General features: G+C 52.8%; 2 protein-coding genes across 8 annotated transcripts, besides 5 other annotated features; one reads left to right on the top strand and one right to left on the bottom strand.

The window, feature by feature from the left end:
- Positions 338-1,205: an enhancer, noted in NCBI's record as "H3K27ac hESC enhancer chr2:220082897-220083764 (GRCh37/hg19 assembly coordinates)". NCBI's record gives its function as "activates a minimal SCP1, AML or CMV promoter by ChIP-STARR-seq in naive H9 embryonic stem cells {active_cell/tissue: H9 hESC(naive)}" and the evidence as "EXISTENCE:reporter gene assay evidence [ECO:0000049][PMID:30033119]".
- On the top strand, positions 422-9,608 carry ABCB6 (ATP binding cassette subfamily B member 6 (LAN blood group)). Of its 2 annotated transcripts, NM_005689.4 has the most exons (19): positions 422-1,255; positions 1,573-1,710; positions 2,548-2,728; positions 2,915-3,016; positions 3,200-3,383; positions 4,298-4,419; positions 4,882-4,991; positions 5,194-5,259; positions 5,429-5,554; positions 5,714-5,790; positions 5,878-5,941; positions 6,054-6,139; positions 6,315-6,372; positions 6,889-6,993; positions 8,272-8,446; positions 8,557-8,669; positions 8,905-8,999; positions 9,082-9,150; positions 9,334-9,608. In NM_005689.4, the coding sequence occupies exons 1-19, from the start codon at positions 707-709 to the stop codon at positions 9,440-9,442; spliced, it is 2,529 nt and encodes an 842-aa protein (NP_005680.1). In that variant the 5' UTR covers positions 422-706; the 3' UTR covers positions 9,443-9,608. The 2 variants fall into 2 exon arrangements, with proteins under 2 accessions (NP_005680.1, NP_001336757.1); NM_001349828.2 differs by lacking the exon at positions 1,573-1,710.
- Positions 983-1,092: a silencer, noted in NCBI's record as "silent region_12348". NCBI's record gives its function as "represses an Ori minimal core promoter by ATAC-STARR-seq in GM12878 lymphoblastoid cells {active_cell/tissue: GM12878}" and the evidence as "EXISTENCE:reporter gene assay evidence [ECO:0000049][PMID:35858748]".
- Positions 9,732-12,598, bottom strand: ZFAND2B (zinc finger AN1-type containing 2B). Of its 6 annotated transcripts, none has more exons than NM_001437629.1 (10): positions 12,535-12,598; positions 12,338-12,413; positions 11,959-12,053; positions 11,601-11,732; positions 11,342-11,493; positions 11,032-11,124; positions 10,894-10,954; positions 10,741-10,808; positions 10,331-10,403; positions 9,732-10,118 (listed from the first exon to the last, which is right to left on the bottom strand). In NM_001437629.1, exons 2-10 carry the CDS (start codon positions 12,390-12,392, stop codon positions 10,074-10,076), a joined length of 774 nt encoding a protein of 257 aa, NP_001424558.1. In that variant the 5' UTR covers positions 12,393-12,413; positions 12,535-12,598; the 3' UTR covers positions 9,732-10,073. The 6 variants fall into 6 exon arrangements, with proteins under 6 accessions (NP_001424558.1, NP_001257927.1, NP_620157.1 ...); NM_001270998.2 differs by having other exon boundaries at positions 12,338-12,410; NM_138802.3 differs by having other exon boundaries at positions 12,338-12,598.
- Positions 11,140-11,639: an enhancer, noted in NCBI's record as "H3K4me1 hESC enhancer chr2:220072463-220072962 (GRCh37/hg19 assembly coordinates)". NCBI's record gives its function as "activates a minimal SCP1, AML or CMV promoter by ChIP-STARR-seq in primed H9 embryonic stem cells {active_cell/tissue: H9 hESC(primed)}" and the evidence as "EXISTENCE:reporter gene assay evidence [ECO:0000049][PMID:30033119]".
- Positions 12,307-12,706: a silencer, noted in NCBI's record as "silent region_12347". NCBI's record gives its function as "represses an Ori minimal core promoter by ATAC-STARR-seq in GM12878 lymphoblastoid cells {active_cell/tissue: GM12878}" and the evidence as "EXISTENCE:reporter gene assay evidence [ECO:0000049][PMID:35858748]".
- Positions 12,757-13,006: an enhancer, noted in NCBI's record as "active region_17141". NCBI's record gives its function as "activates an Ori minimal core promoter by ATAC-STARR-seq in GM12878 lymphoblastoid cells {active_cell/tissue: GM12878}" and the evidence as "EXISTENCE:reporter gene assay evidence [ECO:0000049][PMID:35858748]".

Genomic DNA, 19,961 nt, shown 5'->3' with positions numbered 1-19,961 from the left:
CTTCTTGTTGTCTCGCGCGGCTAGAATCCTGGGAACAAGAGAAATGGGATGGGGACTCTGCCGGGGTCTAGAAGAAAGTATGTTTAGGCCGTCGCTCAGATACGCTGAGCAAGGCGGCTGGCGGAAGGGCAGCTTCCGACCCACAGTTCCGTGGAGGTCTGTGTCCTGCCCCGAGCCAGGATTCCGTGAGGTCTGTTTCCAGCCCCGAGCCACGATTCCGTGGAGGTTTCCAGCTCGGCCTGGTCGTCAGATTTCCCGCCCTGGGCACGTGACCAAGCCGGCTCTGCTTCTCTAATTTGCATTCGTTGCCTGCACCATTCCCCCCGCTCCCCCCTCGGAGACATTTGGCCAATGGGAGCCGTGGGTAGGGGCTGTGGGCGGGGCTACAGCCGTGGAGCGCGGTGCGAGTCCAACACCGAGCATTCCCGTGGGCCTGCAGTTGGCAGGAGGGTCCCGGGCCCAGAGCCAGCGGGGCCGTGCTGAGACGGCGTACGTGCCCTGCGTGAGTGCGTGGCGGCGGCGCGTGCGCTAGGGGAGTGGGCGGTGAGGCCTGGTCCACGTGCGTCCCTTCCCGGGACCCCCGCAGCTTGGCGCCCAGCGGCTACGTGAGCCAAGGCACCCGGATGTCCGCGCCCCTCTCCGAGTGACCAGTCCCGGCCTCCGGTCCCGCAGTGCCCGCAGCCTCGGCCGGCGTCCACGCATTGCCATGGTGACTGTGGGCAACTACTGCGAGGCCGAAGGGCCCGTGGGTCCGGCCTGGATGCAGGATGGCCTGAGTCCCTGCTTCTTCTTCACGCTCGTGCCCTCGACGCGGATGGCTCTGGGGACTCTGGCCTTGGTGCTGGCTCTTCCCTGCAGACGCCGGGAGCGGCCCGCTGGTGCTGATTCGCTGTCTTGGGGGGCCGGCCCTCGCATCTCTCCCTACGTGCTGCAGCTGCTTCTGGCCACACTTCAGGCGGCGCTGCCCCTGGCCGGCCTGGCTGGCCGGGTGGGCACTGCCCGGGGGGCCCCACTGCCAAGCTATCTACTTCTGGCCTCCGTGCTGGAGAGTCTGGCCGGCGCCTGTGGCCTGTGGCTGCTTGTCGTGGAGCGGAGCCAGGCACGGCAGCGTCTGGCAATGGGCATCTGGATCAAGTTCAGGCACAGCCCTGGTCTCCTGCTCCTCTGGACTGTGGCGTTTGCAGCTGAGAACTTGGCCCTGGTGTCTTGGAACAGCCCACAGTGGTGGTGGGCAAGGGCAGACTTGGGCCAGCAGGTGAGGGACTCTGTGGGAAGGGGGAAGCCTCTGCTGGCCGGGCTTGGGAGAAAGCACTGCATGTCCAGTCACACTGCTTCCAGGCTTTAGGATGCCTCTAAGCAAAGGGAGAAGGGAGGGGCTGAGTCCTGCCGGGAGCTGATAGCCAGCTGGTGGGGTGTGTCTTTGCTGAGTCACTGTGGTTTTGCTTTTTTTTTTTTTTTTAAGCCTGTAAGTGCTGAATGTGTTCATGACACCAGTCCCCGGCCCTATTATAAGTAGTAATACAATGAAATTTTATCCTCAATGATACTCTCTCCACTTATATTTCATTCTAGGTTCAGTTTAGCCTGTGGGTGCTGCGGTATGTGGTCTCTGGAGGGCTGTTTGTCCTGGGTCTCTGGGCCCCTGGACTTCGTCCCCAGTCCTATACATTGCAGGTTCATGAAGAGGACCAAGATGTGGAAAGGAGCCAGGTACACCTCAGTTTCTTTTTTTTTTTGGAGACGGAGTCTTGCTCTGTCACCAGGCTGGAGTGCAGTGGCGTGATCTCAGCTCACTGCAACCTCCACCTCCCGGGTTCAAGCGATTCTCCTGCCTCAGCCTCCTGAGTAGCTGGGACTACAGGTGCATGACACCACACCCAGCTAAGTTTTGTATTTTTAGTAGAGACAGGGTTTCACAGCATTGGCCAGGATGGTCTCGATCTCTTGACCTCGTGATCCGCCTGCCTCAGCCTCCCAAAGTGCTAGGATTACAGGCGTGAGCCACTGCGCCTGGCCTCTTTTTGTTTTTAAGACGGAATCTTGCTCCGTCACCCAGGCTGGAGTGTAGTGGCGCGATCTCAGCTCACTGCACCCTCTGCCTCCTGGGTTCAAACAATTCTCGTGCCTCAGCCTCCCAAGTAGCTGGGATTACAGGTGTGTACCCGGCTAATTTTTGTATTTTTAGTGGAGATGGGGTTTCACCATGTTGGCCAGGCTAGTCTTGAACTCCTGACCTCAGGTGACCCACCTGCCTCGGACTCCCAAAGTGCTGGGATTACAGGCATGAGCCACTGCACCAGACCCCACCTCAGTTTCTGAATCCTGGAGTCTCTTCATTTCATTCCCTGTCATCATTCCTTCCCCCAAAATGAAATGCTTCTTTTCCAAATCTCAGTTTGCAACTTAGTTTTTCTGACCCCATCAAGGATCACTTGTGGGTCTGAGATACCTGGGAGCTGTAACCCCATAGGTTTTTCCCTGAAGGGTTTCTGGCTAGTGCACTTACTTGATTTCTGAGCTCCCTTCCTACGTGTTTCACCATCCTAGGTTCGGTCAGCAGCCCAACAGTCTACCTGGCGAGATTTTGGCAGGAAGCTCCGCCTCCTGAGTGGCTACCTGTGGCCTCGAGGGAGTCCAGCTCTGCAGCTGGTGGTGCTCATCTGCCTGGGGCTCATGGGTTTGGAACGGGCACTCAATGTGTTGGTGCCTATATTCTATAGGAACATTGGTGAGCAGGAGGAGCACCAGCTCAGTGTGCTGGTCCTTCATCAGCCTGGTGGCTGGGATGGTCCTTACCTAGGGAGGTGGGACAGAGCTGGGTGGTCAGAAAGAGACTGTGGCTGGTACCTGGGGCCATTTTGCCTGAAGAGAGTCCTGGGCGCCATAAGTGGGTTCTGACTCGTTTCCTCCACAGTGAACTTGCTGACTGAGAAGGCACCTTGGAACTCTCTGGCCTGGACTGTTACCAGTTACGTCTTCCTCAAGTTCCTCCAGGGGGGTGGCACTGGCAGTACAGGTATGAGAGACTCCGCCCTCACCCTGCTAGGTATAGGTCCCTCCCACAGGCATTCCCTCAGCATCCGCCTCTCCCAGCATTCCTCCCCAGCCCCCATGTACTCTCAGACCTTTCACATCCTGGTGCTGGGCTGACGTCCCTCAGCTCCCAGGCCCTACTGAGGCGTCCCCCGGCTCCCTGCAGGCTTCGTGAGCAACCTGCGCACCTTCCTGTGGATCCGGGTGCAGCAGTTCACGTCTCGGCGGGTGGAGCTGCTCATCTTCTCCCACCTGCACGAGCTCTCACTGCGCTGGCACCTGGGGCGCCGCACAGGGGAGGTGCTGCGGATCGCGGATCGGGGCACATCCAGTGTCACAGGGCTGCTCAGGTGCCGCCCCAGTGGAAAGGGCATGTGGGAGGGTGGAGCCGGAGAAGCAGGGATAGGGGCCCGTGGGAGGAAGAGAACAGACCCCGCCTGAGAAGCTGCCGCTCCCACCTTGGTGTTTTTTAAAGTATAGGATTATTGTATACATGCTCTCCTAATAACTTAGGTAATGCGGGCAGAGGGCAAATCTCTTTCGAGCTGCACTTACTTTTTCAGAGCTTCCCACTCTGTTTAGTATGTTGGGTTCTGCTCTTTTTTTGAGACAGGGTCACGCTCTGTCACCCAGGCTGGAGTACAGTGGCATAATCTCTGCTCACTGCAACCTCTGCCTCCCGGGTTCAAGCAATTCTCCTGCCTCAGCCTCCTGAGTAGCTGGGATTACAGATGTGCACCAGCATGCCTGGCTAATTATTAGATTTTTTGTAGAAACAGGGTTTCACCATGTTGGCCAGGCTGGCCTGGAACTCCTAGCATCATGTGATCTGCCCACCTAGCATTCCAAAGTGCTGGGATTACAGTTGTGAGCCATTGTGCCCAGCTGGGTTCTGCTTTTTTGCATTTTTACATACATATTATATATGCAGACTCACAGAACTAATATGGCATTGTGGAGGTTTTTCCTAAAACAAATGGTATTGTGACATAGCCATCATTCTCAGAGTTGCTTATTAACAGAACATTATGGAGATATATTTTTCTTCCATGCCTGAAGGTCTCCCTCATTCATTGTAATTGATACAGAGAATTCTGTAGTTTGAGCATGGTTGATTTAGCCACCCACCTCTTGAGGGTAGAATTAATTAAGACTGGTTCCAGTCTGTTGCTTGAAAATAAAACACTACCCTGAAATGCCTAGAGGCAGGGTTGCTGGGTCTAAGCCCCCAGACCTTTCTTATTCACTTGACCTGCCCTCCTAGCTACCTGGTGTTCAATGTCATCCCCACGCTGGCCGACATCATCATTGGCATCATCTACTTCAGCATGTTCTTCAACGCCTGGTTTGGCCTCATTGTGTTCCTGTGCATGAGTCTTTACCTCAGTGAGTGCTGCTGGGAGACACCGTCTCCCTGAACTATCCAGGGACTCCCTTGGCCATGAGCTGTGCCCCCACTCAAGTGACCCACCTATGGGAGGCTGTGGATTGGTGGACTTGAATGGGCTCCTAGTGCTCGTCATGTGATGGGCGGGTCTCTTCTGTCAAATCAAACCTTAACCTAGCTGAGGGGCTGGGGAAGGACATTCTTGTCACGTTAAGTCTGAGCCGTGGACACAGGTCAAGGAAGCCTCGTTTGTGTAACAAGATGCAGCTTGCTTTCATTTACCAAAAGCGTTTTCTACACATGAGACTTTGTGCAGGCTGCAGAGGTGCCTCCCTGTGGAATCTGGGTGTCCGGGCTTGAGCATAGGCTTAGTGTGTACATGGCAGGTAGTGGACATTGACATTTGGTCTCTGCTTTTGGGGATGATGTCCTATTCTGCTCCCCATCCTGTCACTCTCCAGCCCTGACCATTGTGGTCACTGAGTGGAGAACCAAGTTTCGTCGTGCTATGAACACACAGGAGAACGCTACCCGGGCACGAGCAGTGGACTCTCTGCTAAACTTCGAGACGGTAACAGAGGGCCCGGTGGCAGTGGTGTGAGGCGTGGAGATGTGGAGGAGTGTAACCAGGACCACTGGGGCTGACAGAGAGCTGGGGGTGTGATGTTTGTGTGTGATGTTTGAACTCAGGAAGGAGGATTGAGAGTTGGGGGGAATGACCCGAGTGCCATGTGCTGTGCCCATGCCAAATAAATTTGGTTTGAATTCATCAGGTGAAGTATTACAACGCCGAGAGTTACGAAGTGGAACGCTATCGAGAGGCCATCATCAAATATCAGGTGAGGATGCTAGTTTGAGGCCTCCGGAGAATAATGCCCTGGCCTGGTAGAATTTTCAGGGCCAAGAGTGATAGTCGAGTGTTGGGGTAGAAGGGGCCTGGGCCCAGGTTTGGACTCACTGATGGCCATTGTGTATAGGACATTCCTCTTCCTGTGTTATTGCCCTCAGGGTTTGGAGTGGAAGTCGAGCGCTTCACTGGTTTTACTAAATCAGACCCAGAACCTGGTGATTGGGCTCGGGCTCCTCGCCGGCTCCCTGCTTTGCGCATACTTTGTCACTGAGCAGAAGCTACAGGTGAGGCAGGATCTTGGATGAGAGAGTGGGGCACAAGGAAAAGGGGGCCTGAGGCCTGTGTCTGGTCACCAGGCTCTTCGGTAGGAAGTGGGCAGGGTGACACAAGAAGAGCGGCCTGCAGGCCCCCCGTGACATGCTCTGCTTCCTTGATTGCCACAGGTTGGGGACTATGTGCTCTTTGGCACCTACATTATCCAGCTGTACATGCCCCTCAATTGGTTTGGCACCTACTACAGGTAATCTGAGCCCTGGCCCTCACCTGTCCAGGGCACATTATTATTTCCTGGCTACTCAGAGAAGTCCTAACCAGCACCTTTTTGCAGGATGATCCAGACCAACTTCATTGACATGGAGAACATGTTTGACTTGCTGAAAGAGGAGACAGAAGTGAGCGAAGGGAGAGGAGTAGGGTTTGGGGAGGGAGGAGCTGTGTGGTGTTTCTCGTGCTTGGAAAACACAAAGCTGAGAACCTCAGCACACATGGGTGGTGCCCTTCCAGGTGAAGGACCTTCCTGGAGCAGGGCCCCTTCGCTTTCAGAAGGGCCGTATTGAGTTTGAGAACGTGCACTTCAGCTATGCCGATGGGTGAGGCCTTCCTTTTGCTTCCTTTGCTTTTCCGTTCATTTGCACACTGCCTTCCTGCTTCTCAGTGCTCTGAATCCCTGCTTTTGGAAAAGAGCCTGGGCAGGGGAGGGGCAGGGCCTACTAGCAGCTCTGGTGATGGAAGGTGCCTGCTGAGCAACCCCACCTTTCCTTGCAGGCGGGAGACTCTGCAGGACGTGTCTTTCACTGTGATGCCTGGACAGACACTTGCCCTGGTGAGAGGAGACCCAGCCACTTGGCCCAGATGCCTCAAGCTTCCCTCATTCAGTGCCCATGGTAGCTTGTGACCCAGGCTGTGGAGTCAGAGAGCCCAGTCACGATAGGCAACCGGATTGAATGGTGCAGCCTCCATGGACACTGGTGACCTCTTGGAGAGGGAACCTCAAAAGCCAGTGGGCCTCGGCCGGCTGCGGTGGCACATGCCTGTAATCCCAGCACTTTGGGAGGCTTAGGTGGCCAGATCACCTAAGGTTAGGAGTTCAAGACCAGCCTGACCAACATGGTGAAACCCTATCTCTACTAAAAATACAAAAATTAGCCGGGCATGGTGGCGGGTGCCTATAATCCCACTACTAGGGAGGCTGAGGCAAGAGAATCGCTTGAACCTGGGAGGCAGAGGTTCTAGTGAGCTGAGATCGCGCCATTGCACTGCAGCCTGGGTGACGGAGTGAGATTCGGTCTCAAAAAAAAAGCCAGTGGGCCTGAGATTTTTCCCATTTCCAATGCAACAGGTGGGCCCATCTGGGGCAGGGAAGAGCACAATTTTGCGCCTGCTGTTTCGCTTCTACGACATCAGCTCTGGCTGCATCCGAATAGATGGGCAGGACATTTCACAGGTAGGGTTGCTCTGGAGAAGACGGTGGTTTAGGGGTCTACGTGTGGAGGAATGATAAGGGCTGGCTGTCCAGAGAGAGGAGATGTCACCCTTGCAAAAAAACTAGGGCCATTCTAGCATGATATAACCTACAGTCACACAAGTAAAGTAGTCATGTTAAGGATTTGTATGGTGCCATAAAAGCTACAAAGGGCTGGGCGCAGTGGCTCATGCCTATAATCCCAGCACTTTGGGAGGCCGAGGCAGGTGGATCACTTGAGCCCAGGAGTTCAAGACCAGCCTGGGCAACATGGCAAAACACCCTCTCTACAAAAAATACAAAAATTGCTGGGCGCGGTGGCTCACACCTGTAATCCCAGTACTTTGGGAGGCTGAGGTGGGCGGATCACAAGGTCAGGAGATCGAGACCATCCTGGCTAACACAGTGAAACCCCGTCTCTACGAAAAATACAAAAAATTTGCTGGGCGTGGTGGCGGGCGCCTGTAGTCCCAGCTACTCGGGAAGCTGAGGCAGGAGAATGGTGTGAACCCAGGAGGCGGAGCTTGCAGTGAGCCGAGATGGCGCCACTGCACTCCAGCCTGGGCAAGAGTGCAAGACTCTGTCTCAAAAAAAAAAAAAAAAATTAGCTGGCCATGGTGGCACACACATGTAGTCCCACCAGGAGGCTGTAGTGAGCTATGATCATGCCACTGCACTCCAGCCTGGGTGACAGAGCAAGGCCCTGTCTCAAAACAAAAAGCAAAACAAAAAAAAAAAAAAAAAAAAGGTACAACGATATTCTGTAGCCAGGTGTGGTGGCTCACACCTGTAATCCCAACACTTTAGGAGGTCAAGGCAGCAGGATCATTTGAGTCCAGGATTTTGAGACCAGCCTGGGCAACATACCTGGCAACCCCATCTCAACAAAAAATTAAAAATTAGCTTGACGTAGTCTCAAGCACCTGTGGTCTCAGCTACTCAGGAAGCTGAGGTAGGAGGATTGCATGAGCCAGGAGGTCAAGGCTGCAGTAAGCCGAGATTTTGCCACTGCAGTCCAGCCTGGGTGACAGAGTGGACTCTATCCAAAAACAAAACAAAACATCTGCAGCAATCTGGTGAAGCAGGAAGAGAAGATGGGGAAACAGAGAGGAGTGATTTGCCCACACGGCTAGGATATGGGGCAGTGATGGTGGGATTATTACCACAGCCTCTTATCCCACGTGCTTCCGGCCAGCCCACCCTGCCTCCCAGGCCTTGGGGGTATCTCATAAGGCAGAGTGTGTGGTCTTTTGGCCCTAGGTGACCCAGGCCTCTCTCCGGTCTCACATTGGAGTTGTGCCCCAAGACACTGTCCTCTTTAATGACACCATCGCCGACAATATCCGTTACGGCCGTGTCACAGCTGGGAATGATGAGGTGGAGGCTGCTGCTCAGGCTGCAGGCATCCATGATGCCATTATGGCTTTCCCTGAAGGTGAGAGATTCCTTTGCAGAGAGTCCCCTCCCCTCCTGGTGTTGTCCTGCTAATCCCTGACCCCTGTTCCCTCCGTTTCGTAAGAAACGTGTGGTGGGTAATATCCACAGGGTACAGGACACAGGTGGGCGAGCGGGGACTGAAGCTGAGCGGCGGGGAGAAGCAGCGCGTCGCCATTGCCCGCACCATCCTCAAGGCTCCGGGCATCATTCTGCTGGATGAGGTGCGCCCTGGGTCTCCTCCCCTCCTTCCTGCCTTGTGTATGCTCAAGCCGTTCCTCCTGGGCACTGTCCCCACCTAGAACAGATACCATGAATTCAAATCTCACAAAACACACTTTCCAGTTCTCAAGCCCAAACAAGGCTCTTGTGTATTCTTGAGGCCTCAGCCAGCAGCCTGCCTCCTTCCATTGAGGGTTTTGAGTGGCAGGAGCAGTTTTACCTGGACCCTCTCTATAGGCAACGTCAGCGCTGGATACATCTAATGAGAGGGCCATCCAGGCTTCTCTGGCCAAAGTCTGTGCCAACCGCACCACCATCGTAGTGGCACACAGGTACAGGACTACAGGCCTGGGGCGGCTGGTGATGTGGCCCGCTTTGGGTGGGGTAGTAGGCGACTGATCTTTGACTTCTCAGGCTCTCAACTGTGGTCAATGCTGACCAGATCCTCGTCATCAAGGATGGCTGCATCGTGGAGAGGGGACGGTAAGAGACACATAGATCAAAAGGACAGGTCTTCTGAATTGGGGGCTCCAGGAAAGGGGGCATGAAGTCCCAGGGGCTTCTGGAGGGGACCTCCCTTCCCATCCCGTCCTCTCTGTGGGCTGGTGGCAAGGACCCTCGGGGTAAAACTAATGGTTAGGACTCACACTTTTCTCCTCACCCCAGACACGAGGCTCTGTTGTCCCGAGGTGGGGTGTATGCTGACATGTGGCAGCTGCAGCAGGGACAGGAAGAAACCTCTGAAGACACTAAGCCTCAGACCATGGAACGGTGACAAAAGTTTGGCCACTTCCCTCTCAAAGACTAACCCAGAAGGGAATAAGATGTGTCTCCTTTCCCTGGCTTATTTCATCCTGGTCTTGGGGTATGGTGCTAGCTATGGTAAGGGAAAGGGACCTTTCCGAAAAACATCTTTTGGGGAAATAAAAATGTGGACTGTGCGAGGATCACTGTGGCTTTGTGGGATGGGGTACTGCAGCGGGCCTCTACCCATAAGTCAGATGAGCATTCTTGACACGGCTTTCCTGTTTGAGGTTAGAGAGGAGAGAGAAACACACCACTTGTACGTTTTATCAACTGCCAAGATCCTTTATTTTTTCCAGGCCCCTTCCTGCCCACTCCACATCGGGGCAGCTCCAGCATAAGGGAGATGACATGATGAAGGGGCTAAGAGTAGGGCCTGGCCAGCATCCACTGAGGGCCCAACCAGGGAACAGTTGCTAGCCGCTCTCTTCCATGCAGCTGGAGCACTAGCAAGGCCTTCCAGAGGCTCCCAGGGCGACCTCCACATCACTCCCGCTTGTCTCTGCCCTCCAGGGTGCTCCGGGCCTCCTCTCCCTGTGTACCCTAGAGGTGTGAGGGCCACAGTCCTCCTCAGGTGAACCTCCCTCCCCAAGCCCAGGGCCCTAGCACAGGCTGCAGTTGGACGGCTTCGAGCTGCGGCTCTGGGCCTAGAGCAAAGAGAGGGGAAGGAGGGGAAGACACAGTGCAACGTCAAGGAAATGAGGGACAGCCCTCATTTCAGAGCTCAGCATGGGCTGGAGTCATACTGAAAACCAGACGATAACCACCATTCCAAAACTCTGCACCACTAGGAAGAACCCCCATCCCTGACTTCTTCCTCCCTTCCACTGCAGCATATATCTTCAGCCCAGCCTCATACCTGCTGCCGCTGGTATTCTGCCTCACTGGCTGACAGTGCTTGTGCTAAAGCTAGGTCTTCTTCCTCCTGACAACTGGGAGGGAGAAACAGTTTAAGTTGGATGATGGTAAGATCTGAAATTTGAACATCTGATCTGTGTGTGTTGGGCCTCATGGTGCTGAGCACTGCTGAGGATTATCTCAATCTTCATAGCAACACTACAAGGTGGGTATTAGTATTGTCCCCGTTTTATAGAGGAAATGAAGGCTCCATGGGTTAAATAACTTGTCAAAGATCATATAGTTCATCTTAATTTTGAGACCAAGTTGCCAGCGATTATCTTGCATTGTGTCAGAGTGGTCCCACCTACCTGCCTCCAGACCAAGCCCTTGCCCACAGCTTGCGCTCTCTTTCACAAGAGGGTAAGGTACCTTGGAACCTGGGGTTTGGTTTCTGCCAGGGACATTTCCAGGGCCCGCTGCAGAGCTTCATCCTCACTCTACAAAGGGAGAAAGAAGACCAGCGTCCTTGGACTTCACTCTCTGTGTGTTTGTTTCTGTCCATCCAACCTCTGCCCAACTCACCAGGCCATTCTGCAAAGCAATCACTGGAGGGGCTGTCCAGGACGGAGATCGGGTTGTGGCTCTACGACAGACATTGAAGAGGTGGAGGTCAGAGGTGTGAAGGGGAAAAAGGGGGAGCAGGGAAACGGGCAGGCCTACCTGCTGGGAGAGGTACAGGAAGGCATGGTTTGACTTGGGCTGGGGACAGTGCTTGTAGAAGCCACAGCTTGTGCTCTGGAGATGGCAGCAAGTCTGTAGGGAAGAGAGATTTTTGGCATGTCTCCAAGAACTAGCCTTACCCAGGAAGTCAGGAGGGGAGTTCTGGAAAAACATGCACTTGAAAAGGAAGCTAAAAGACTCCCCTAGCCGACAGGGTAGGGTTGAAGCTCCCCAATTTATAACAACAGAGCTTGAGTCAGTTCCAAAAGAATGCTTCCCAAAAGCAAGTGGAGGACTTGGCTGCCATTACCCTGCCCGGCTGGTTGGGTGCCCCTCCCCAGAGCAATCATGGTCCAGTGGATGCCGGTGCTTGATGCAGAAGTTTCGGCTACAGCGTTCACAGGTCAGTTTCATCATTTCTCGCTGCCGGCAGCCAGCGCGTTCACACTTATTGGTGAAGATCTGAGGTGAAGTGAGAAGGTTGTCTCTGCTGAGACTCTGATTAGCTGTTTGGGTTTCCAGGCATCCGTAGTCCCAGCTGGGTTGTGGCTGACCCCTACAATGTTTACCTTACGTTTTTGCTGTGCTGGATCAGAGCGACAGTCTCTGTCAATGTGCTCTCCCACAGCACGGTCAGGGGGCTCCCCTCTGGCCACAGGCACAGGCACATTACAGAGAGGGCACACAGGTACCTGGATATCCTGTAGTCAAGGAGCAAGGGTCAGTCTGTGGCCCACTCCAGTCCAACAAATCTCTGGTCCTGAAAGAACTTGGATATGACCCACCACAAACACGCAAAAAAACAGTGTTTCCCAGCACTGACAGCCTCAGAAGGACAAAAGGGAGAAGAAACGTGAGACACAGATTTGGGGGATTCTGCACGCATTCTCCATCTGCCTGCTTTCACCCTGAGGATCGCCCCCTCACCTTTTGGTAAGCAGATCCACAGTGATGCTGGGCGTAGGCCACATGGTCTGCGCAGAAGATGCCTGAGCAGGCATCACACTTAAGCGGCAGAAAATCTGCAAAGAGTTGGTCGGATTGCAGGTCCAGCGGGACCTCGATGTCCTTCTCTCTCACTCAAGTCTTCCACTCGGGAAGGAAAACGCCACCCTATTTTCGACACACCGCCCCTTCCCAAGCCCATTACCTCCTTGGCCACGCCCCCTCTGCCGCTGACCACCCCCCCCCAGCTTCAAGCCCCGCCCCCCGGCATTGCCAGCCTGGGAGCCCACCCTTCCCTCCCAACCTGCGGTTCAAAGTCCCTGTCCGCTGGGCCCCGCCCCCCGCGCGCTCCGCCCCTCACCCAAGCGCTGACAGCTCGGCTCCGAACAGTGAGCGCCGAGGTCCGGAAACTCCATCGCCAAGCCGGGCAGGGTCTGCTAGGAGAAGCGACGAGTGCTGAGCGTCTTTAGGGCTCGTGCTCGAAGTCCGCACCGCGACCCCGCACTCTGGCGGGCTCCCTGCCCCGCCCCTTCCTCTCCCCCGCCCAGCCCGGGTTACCGGAGCCCCCGCGCCAGCCGGCCCCCGGCGCCCGCTCCTCCCTCGGCGCGCGCGGCGCGCTGACGTCATCCCGCAGGGCTGGCGCGTCCGGCGCAGTCTCCGGGCAGCCGGGGAGGGCCTCGGTTGAGCCCCGCCCCGCCTCGCCTTGCTCTAGAAGGCTGAGTCGGAAGACTGTCCCGAGGCGAGAGGGTGTTGATGCGCGGCTCCGCCACCCTGGGCGCGGGCGTAGCTCCGCAGAGGAAGGCCAGCGAAGGCAAAGACGGATATCTTGGGGGATGGAAGGCTGGGTGGTTTGGGGTCTTTCACAATTCGGTCCTTAGCCCGCTTCACACACGATGCCCTCCTCCTGGCCATTTTGTTCACGGCCACGGCTGCCCTTCGCCTCCACGAGCTGACAGCTCCTGTATTTCTCTGAAGTACAGACGTCTCTAGAGCTGCAGATCCCTCCTCAGTCTGAACTAGGCGCACCTGCTATGTGATCTTACTTCTTCCATTCTAGCACCCATATCACTAATGCGACCAACCCCTATATGAGCATACTGGGAAATCAGGAACCACGTCTACCTTGTTTCGTGTTAGGTCCCAGCACCTAACAGTGCCTAGAACAGTGTGGTCCTCAGTCTTTAGTGTGAATCCAAATCGCCTACGGAGCTAGTTTAAAATGCGGATTTCCGGGCCCTGGAGCTTCTAATTCAGTAGGAAGCACCTGAAGGAATTCTGACACAGATTGCCATGCACCACACTCTGAAAAACCCTAGCCTAGAATATTCTTAGTAATTATTGAATGTAGCCAGGACTACAGGCACAAGCCACCGTGCTCAGCTAATTTTTAATTTTGTAGAAATGGGGTTGGGGAGGGGTCTCTCTTTGTTGCCCAGATTGGTCTCGAACTCCTGGCCTTAAGTGATCCTCCTGCCTTGGCCTCCCAAAGTGCTGGGATTACAGACGTGAGCCACCACACCTGACCAATATAATTTTTTTTTTTTTGAGACACAGTGTCACTCTTGTCACCCAGGCTGGAGTGCAGTGGCATGATCTCGGCTCACTGCAACCTCTGCTTCCCGGGTTCAAGCGATTCTCCTGCCTCAGCCTCCCAAGTAGTTGGGACTACAGGTGCACACCACTGCGTCCAGCTAATTTTTGTATTTTTAGAGACGGCGTTTCACCATGTTGCCCAGGCTGGTCTCGAACTCCTGACCTCGTGATCTGCCCGCCTCGGCCTCCCAAAGTGCTGGGATTACAGGCATGAGCCACCACTCCCAGCCAATATTCTTTTTATTTTAAATTGCATCCAGGACTTTATAAATGCTTTTATTTTGTTTCAATATATAACTGTCAGATTTCAAATAATTTTTTCCCAGTCTCATTATAATCATTTGGTTCTAAGAATTTTGTTTATTCATTTTTTTTCCTCTCTATATTCATCAGTACAATTTAGAATTGTAGGCTTCCAGTCCCGGCATGGTGGCTGACGCTTGTAATTTCAGCACTTTGGGAGGCTGACGCAGGAGGATCGCTTGAGCCTAGGAGTTCCAGCCTGGGCAACATAGTGAGACCCTGTCTCTACAAAAATAGAAAGAATTGTAGGCTTTCAGTTTGGAGAAACGTGTATGGAGCAGACTAAACAAAGATAAACACTGCCTCTCTCCCCACTCCCACTTTACAAATGCTCAGATAACCAAAGCCTTGTGGAACTCAAAAAATAAAAATCTTCGGATCTCATTTTTGAGCATGAGCCAGAATGCTTGAAGTGCAAATGTAGTCATTTGTTCTTATGTTGCTATACAGAAATACCTCGCTAGGCATGGTGGCTCATGCCTGTAATCCCATCCCTCGGAGGCCAAGGTGGGAGGGTCACTCGAGTCCAGGAGTTTGAGACCAGCCTGGGCAACATAGTAAGACCTCCCTCTCTACAAAAAAAATTTTTAAAAAGTTAGCTGGGCATGGTGGCATCCACCCGTTGTCCCAAATACTCGAGAGGCTTTGGTGGGAGGATTGCTTGAGCCTAGGAGCTCGAAGTTGCAGTGAGCTATGATTGTACCACTGTGCTTCAGCTGGATAACAAAGTGAGACCCTGTCTTTAAAAAAAAAAAAAAATCTGAGGCTGGTTGATTTATAAAGAAAGAGGTTTAATTTATTCATGGTTCTGCAGACTGCATAGGAAGCATGGTGCCAGCATCTGCTCAGCTTCTGGTGAGGCCTCAGGAAGCTTCTAATCATTGCAGAAGGCCTAGGGGGAACAGGCATGTCACATGGCAAGAGTGGGAGCAAGAGAGAGAAGAGGGAGGTCCCAGAGTCTTTTCAAAACCAGATCTGATGTGAACTGAGTGAGAATTCACTCATCACCAAGAGGATGGCACTAAGCCATTCATGAGGGGTCCACTCTCAGGTTCCAATCACCTCCTGCCAGGTCCCACCTCTGACATTGGGAATACATTTCTTTTTCTTTTCTTTTTTTTTTTTTTTTTTTCTTTTTTGAGACAGAATCTCACTCTGTCGCCCAGGCTGGAGTGCAGTGGCACAGTCTCAGCTCACTGCAACCTCCGCCTCCCGGGTTCATACCATTCTCCTGCCTCAGCCTCCCAAGTAGCTAGGATTACAGGCGCATGCCACCACGCCCGGCTAATTTTTTGTATTTTTAGGAGAGATGGGGTTTCACCGTGTTAGCCAGGATGGTCTCGATCTCCTGACCTCGTGATCCGCCCGCCTCGGCCTCCCAAAGTGCTGGAATTACAGGCATGAGCCACTGCGCCCGGCGGGAATACATTTCAACATGAGATTTGGAGGGGACACATATCCAGACCATATCATGCCATAACAGACTTACCTCAGAGACCCCAGCGACCACGATAAAAGTGAATGAAGCTCTCACGGTAGTATCTCTCTTCCCAGGCAAATATTTTTCTGACTGATGGGTTATAGTCCTGACTAAGCTCTCTGTGCTGATTACCAGCCCAGGGGCTTTCTCACTGGGTGATGTTCTCATCCCACGATTTAAAAAGAGTGCCCGCACAAACCAAAGTCACCATTCCCCAATGTAGCCTCCTTGCTTCCTGAATAAAAGAAGCCAGGAGAACACTGAGAGAGAAATCAAATAACATTTTGCAACTTGAATTAGCTATTTTAGGAGATATCAATTAACAACTGAGCATTACTTAAGTCTCTTTTATTGTAGACCAACAAAGCATACACAGACCTGCTAAGCAGCCTTGCGCTTTAGCTGTGGGTAACTGAGCTGCAGCCTCTCATTGGGACAGTAGACATAGGTTCCTCTAAAATTCGCAGGCATAGTCATAGCCAGACGCCAGTTATTTTAGCTTTAGCAGGTCTAAAGCAGACAAGGTCAAACTGAGGATAGCCAGAAAAGGTGTCTTGGCTCCAATTCAACTTGAATATTAGTTTAATGGTATTTGTCTCAGTGGTTTTCCGCCTCTCAATTGACTCTTAGTGAAACAGTGCATATAGAAATGGAAGGAAAAGGCCAGGCACGATGGCTCATGCCTATAATCCCAACACTTTGGGAGGCTGAGGTGGGCAGATCACCAGAAGCCAGGAGTTCAAGACCACCCTGGCCAACATGGTGAAACCCTGTCTTTACTAAAAATACAAAAATCAGCCAGGCATGGTGGCAACAGAGCGAGACTATGTCTCAATTAATAAAGAAACAGGAAAAAAAAGAAATGGAAAGAAAAACTAGCACTTATTGTTGTGTCCTGCTCTTCCTCATGTGTTAGCTTATTTAATCCCCTGTGAAAATCCTTTGAAGTAGGCCGGGCACGGTGGCTCACGCCTGTAATCCCAGCACTTTGGGAGGCCAAGGCGGGCAGATCACAAGGTCAGGAGATCGAGACCATCCTGGCTAGCACGGTGAAACCCTGTCTCTACTAAAAATACAAAAAATTAGCTGGGCGTGGTGGCGGGCACCTGTGGTCCCAGCTACTCGGGAGGCTGAAGCAGGAGAATGGCGTGAACCCAGGAGGCGGAGCTTGCAGTAAGCCGAGATTGTGCCACTGCACTCCAGCTTGGGCAACAGAGTGAGACTCTGTCTCAAAAAAAAAAAAAAAAAAAGAAAGAAAATCTTTTGAAAAAGATATCATGTATCCCCATTTTGCAGATAAAAAATCTGAAGTTGAGAGAGATTAAATTACTTGCTACGAAGTCAGAATCTGGACCTAAATTTTTGTATTGTCTTCAGTTCTATGTTCTTTCCATCATACAAATTTGCCTCCCAAAAATCTACTCTTGGACCCTCCTTAACTACTGAAAAGAGGAATCTTTTTTTTTTTTTTTTGAGATGGAGTATCGCTCTGTCGCCCAGGCTGGAGTGCAGTGGCATGATCTCAGCTCACTGCAACCTCTGCCTCCTGGGTTCAAGCAACTCTCCTGCCTCAGCCTCCCAAGTAGCTGGGACTACAGGCGCCCGCCACCACACCCGGCTAATTTTTAGTAGAGATGGGGTTTCACCATGTTGGCCAGGCTGGTCTAGAACTCCTGACCTCATGATCCACCCACCTCTGCCTCCCAAAGTGTTAGGATTACAGGTGTGAGCCACCATGCCCAAGTCAAAAAAAGGAATCTTAAGTGATGATTTTTCTCAGAGTGTTTGGGGAAAATCCCAAATCTCTCCGTGGGTTATCAAAAATCAAACACCTTATCAGTGCAAGGTATTTAAATATTTAAGTGAAGTACCAGGATGCGGAAGCTGATTGAAGCTGGTTTCAGATCCTAGGAGATTAGTCGGCTGGCATGACTGCCTTCCCTGAGTTCTGCCTTGCTCCCTTGGGTGTGTGATACACAATCTTTGTGACAATGCTCAGCCGTTTGTCCTCAGGTGCACTAGCTCTCCCGTGAGCTTGAGAGGTGACAGCGTGCTGGCAGTCCTCAGAGCCCTCGCCTGCTCTCGCACCTCCCCTGCCTGGGCTCCCACTTTGGTGGCATTTGAGGAGCCCTTCAGTCCCCCACTGCACTGTGGGAGCCCCTTTCTGGGCTGGCCAAGGCCGGAGCCCACTCCCTCAGCTTGCAGGGAGGTGTGGAGGGAGAGGCACGAGCGGGAACCGGGGCTGTGTGGGGCGCTTGCGGGCCAGCTGGAGTTCCAGGTGGGCGTGGGCTTGGTGGGCCCTGCACTCGGAGCAGCCAGCCAGCCCTGCTGGCCCCGGGCAATGGGGGACTTAGCACCCGGGCCAGTGGCTGCGGAGGGTGTACTGGGTTCCCCAGCAGTGCCGGCCCACCGGCACTGCGCTCAATTTCTCACTGAGCCTTAGCTGCCTTCCCGCCGGGCAGGGTTCGGGACCTGCAGCCCACCATGCCTGAGCCTCCCACCCACTCCATGGGCTCCTGTGAGGCCCGAGCCTCCCCGACGAGCACCACCCCCTGCTCCACAGCGCCCAGTCCCATCGACCACCCAAGGGCTGAGGAATGCGAGCGCACGGCGCAGGACTGGCAGGCAGCTCCACCTGCAGCCACGGTGCGGTATCCACTAGGTGAAGCCACCTGGGCTCCTGAGTCTGGTAGGGCCGTGGAGAACCTTTATGTCTAGCTCAGGGATTGTAAACACAACAATCAGCACCCTGTGTTTAGCTCAAGGTTTGTGAGTGCACCAGTCGACACTCTATCTAGCTGCTCTGGTGAGGACGTGGAGAGTCTTTATGTCTAGCTCAGGGATTGTAAATACACCAATCGGCACTCTGTATCTAGCTCAAGGTTTGTAAACACACTAATCAGCACCCTGTTTAGCTCAAGGTTTGTGAATGCACCAATCGACACTCTGTATCTAGCTGCTCTGGTGGGGCCTTGCAGAACCTGTGTGTGGAAACTCTGTATCTAACTAATCTGATGGGGACGTGGAGAACCTTTGTATCTAGCTCAGGGATTGTAAACGCACCAATCAGCGCCCTGACAAAACAGGCCACTTGGCTCTACCAATCAGCAGGATGTGGGTGGGGCCAGATAAGAGAATAAAAGCAGGCTGCCCGAGCCAGCATTGGCAACCCGCTGGGGTTCCCTTCTGTACTGTGGAGCCTTTGTTCTTTTGCTCTTTGCAATAAATCTTGCTACTGCTCACTCTTTGGGTTCATGCTGCTTTTACGAGCTGTAACACTCACCGCAAAGATCTGCAGCTTCACTTCTGAGCCTAGCAAGACCACGAGCCCACCGGGAGGAACGAACAACTCCGGACGCGCTACCTTAAGAGCTGTAACACTCACCGTGAAGGTCGGCAGCTTCACTTCTGAGCCAGCGAGACCACGAACCCACCAGAAGGAAGAAACTCCGAACACATCTGAACATCAGAAGGGACAGACTCCACACGCGCCATCTTAAGAGCTGTAACACTCACCGCGAGGGTCTGCGGCTTCATTCTTGAAGTCAGTGAGACCAAGAACCCACCAATTGCGGACACAAGCTCATTTTAGATGCCTAGTTTAGACAAATAGTTCAGATTCATGTAACTTTACAGGTTATACAGTGATTTCATATATATTCAATCTGCTAAAGTATGTGTGTGTGTGTATATATATATATATATATATATATATATATATATATATAAATTTTTTTTTTTTTGAGTTGGAGTTTTGTTGTTGCCTCGGCTGGAGTGCAGTGGCATGATCTCGGCTCACTGCAACCTCCACCTTCTGGGTTCAAGTGATTCTTCAGCATCAGCCTCCCAAGTAGCTGGGATTTCAGGCACCCGCCACTCGCCCAGCTAATTTTTGTATTCTTAGTAGAGAGGGTTTCACCATGTTGGCCAGGCTGGTCTTAAACTCCTGACTTAGGGTGATCTGCCCGCCTCAGCCTCACAAAGTGCTAGGATTACAGGCATGAGCCACCGCGCCTGGCCACAATCTGCTAAATACCAACTGGAGTTGTCAGGTCTTAGATGCAGCAACTAGTTCAAAGTGAGAAGGACCGAATACAGTGGCTTTCCAAGTTTTTCAGCTTTGACCTACGGTAAGAAATATATCTTACATCTCCTCCCAATGTATATAAATATAAAATCAATGTTGTTTAAGCTGCACCGAATTGATTGCACAGCCCACTAATTTCATAACTCCACGTTTGAAACCGATGCTCTAATGGGAAGGTGCAGGACACGGAAATGGGAGCCAGTAATGGCCAAGAGTGAGGCTGGGGAGGCACAGTGAGAGTGCTTCAGGCAGACAAGATGCCAAATGCACTCTAGCCAGAGGCGGGGCCTGGGGAGAGCAGCACAAAGGTTATGGATGACCTTCAAGTAGAGCTCAGAGGAGTCTGAGGGTGCAAGAGGTGAGAGGTGAAAGAGACTCTGCTAAATGTGGTAAAATGAATGCATGTGATTTTATGTTTGCTTCCTTCCCAAACCCCACCAAAATAACAGTAAAACAATAAGGAGAACAGAAGCGAAAACAATACATGAAGATATGACAAAAACATTTTGGGAGCTAAACATC

The sequence above is a fragment of the Homo sapiens genome, chromosome 2 (assembly GCF_000001405.40).
Source record: "Homo sapiens chromosome 2, GRCh38.p14 Primary Assembly".
Lineage (NCBI taxonomy): Eukaryota > Metazoa > Chordata > Mammalia > Primates > Hominidae > Homo > Homo sapiens.
Note: the sequence above shows the minus strand (reverse complement) of the source record. Positions and strands in the feature narration are given on the sequence as shown.

Coding starts and splice junctions, on each gene's coding strand:
- ABCB6 (NM_005689.4), top strand. CDS start 707: ATGGTGACTGTGGGCAACTACTGCGAGGCCGAAGGGCCCGTGGGTCCG. Junction 5,942..6,053: donor TGCTGAAAGAGGAGACAGAA/GTGAGCGAAGGG, acceptor GTGCCCTTCCAG/GTGAAGGACCTTCCTGGAGC. Junction 9,151..9,333: donor TGCATCGTGGAGAGGGGACG/GTAAGAGACACA, acceptor TCCTCACCCCAG/ACACGAGGCTCTGTTGTCCC.
- ZFAND2B (NM_001437631.1), bottom strand. CDS start 12,392: ATGGAGTTTCCGGACCTCGGCGCTCACTGTTCGGAGCCGAGCTGTCAG. Junction 11,125..11,341: donor CACCCAACCAGCCGGGCAGG/GTAATGGCAGCC, acceptor TCTTCCCTACAG/ACTTGCTGCCATCTCCAGAG. Junction 10,809..10,893: donor TTGCTTTGCAGAATGGCCTG/GTGAGTTGGGCA, acceptor CTCCCTTTGTAG/AGTGAGGATGAAGCTCTGCA.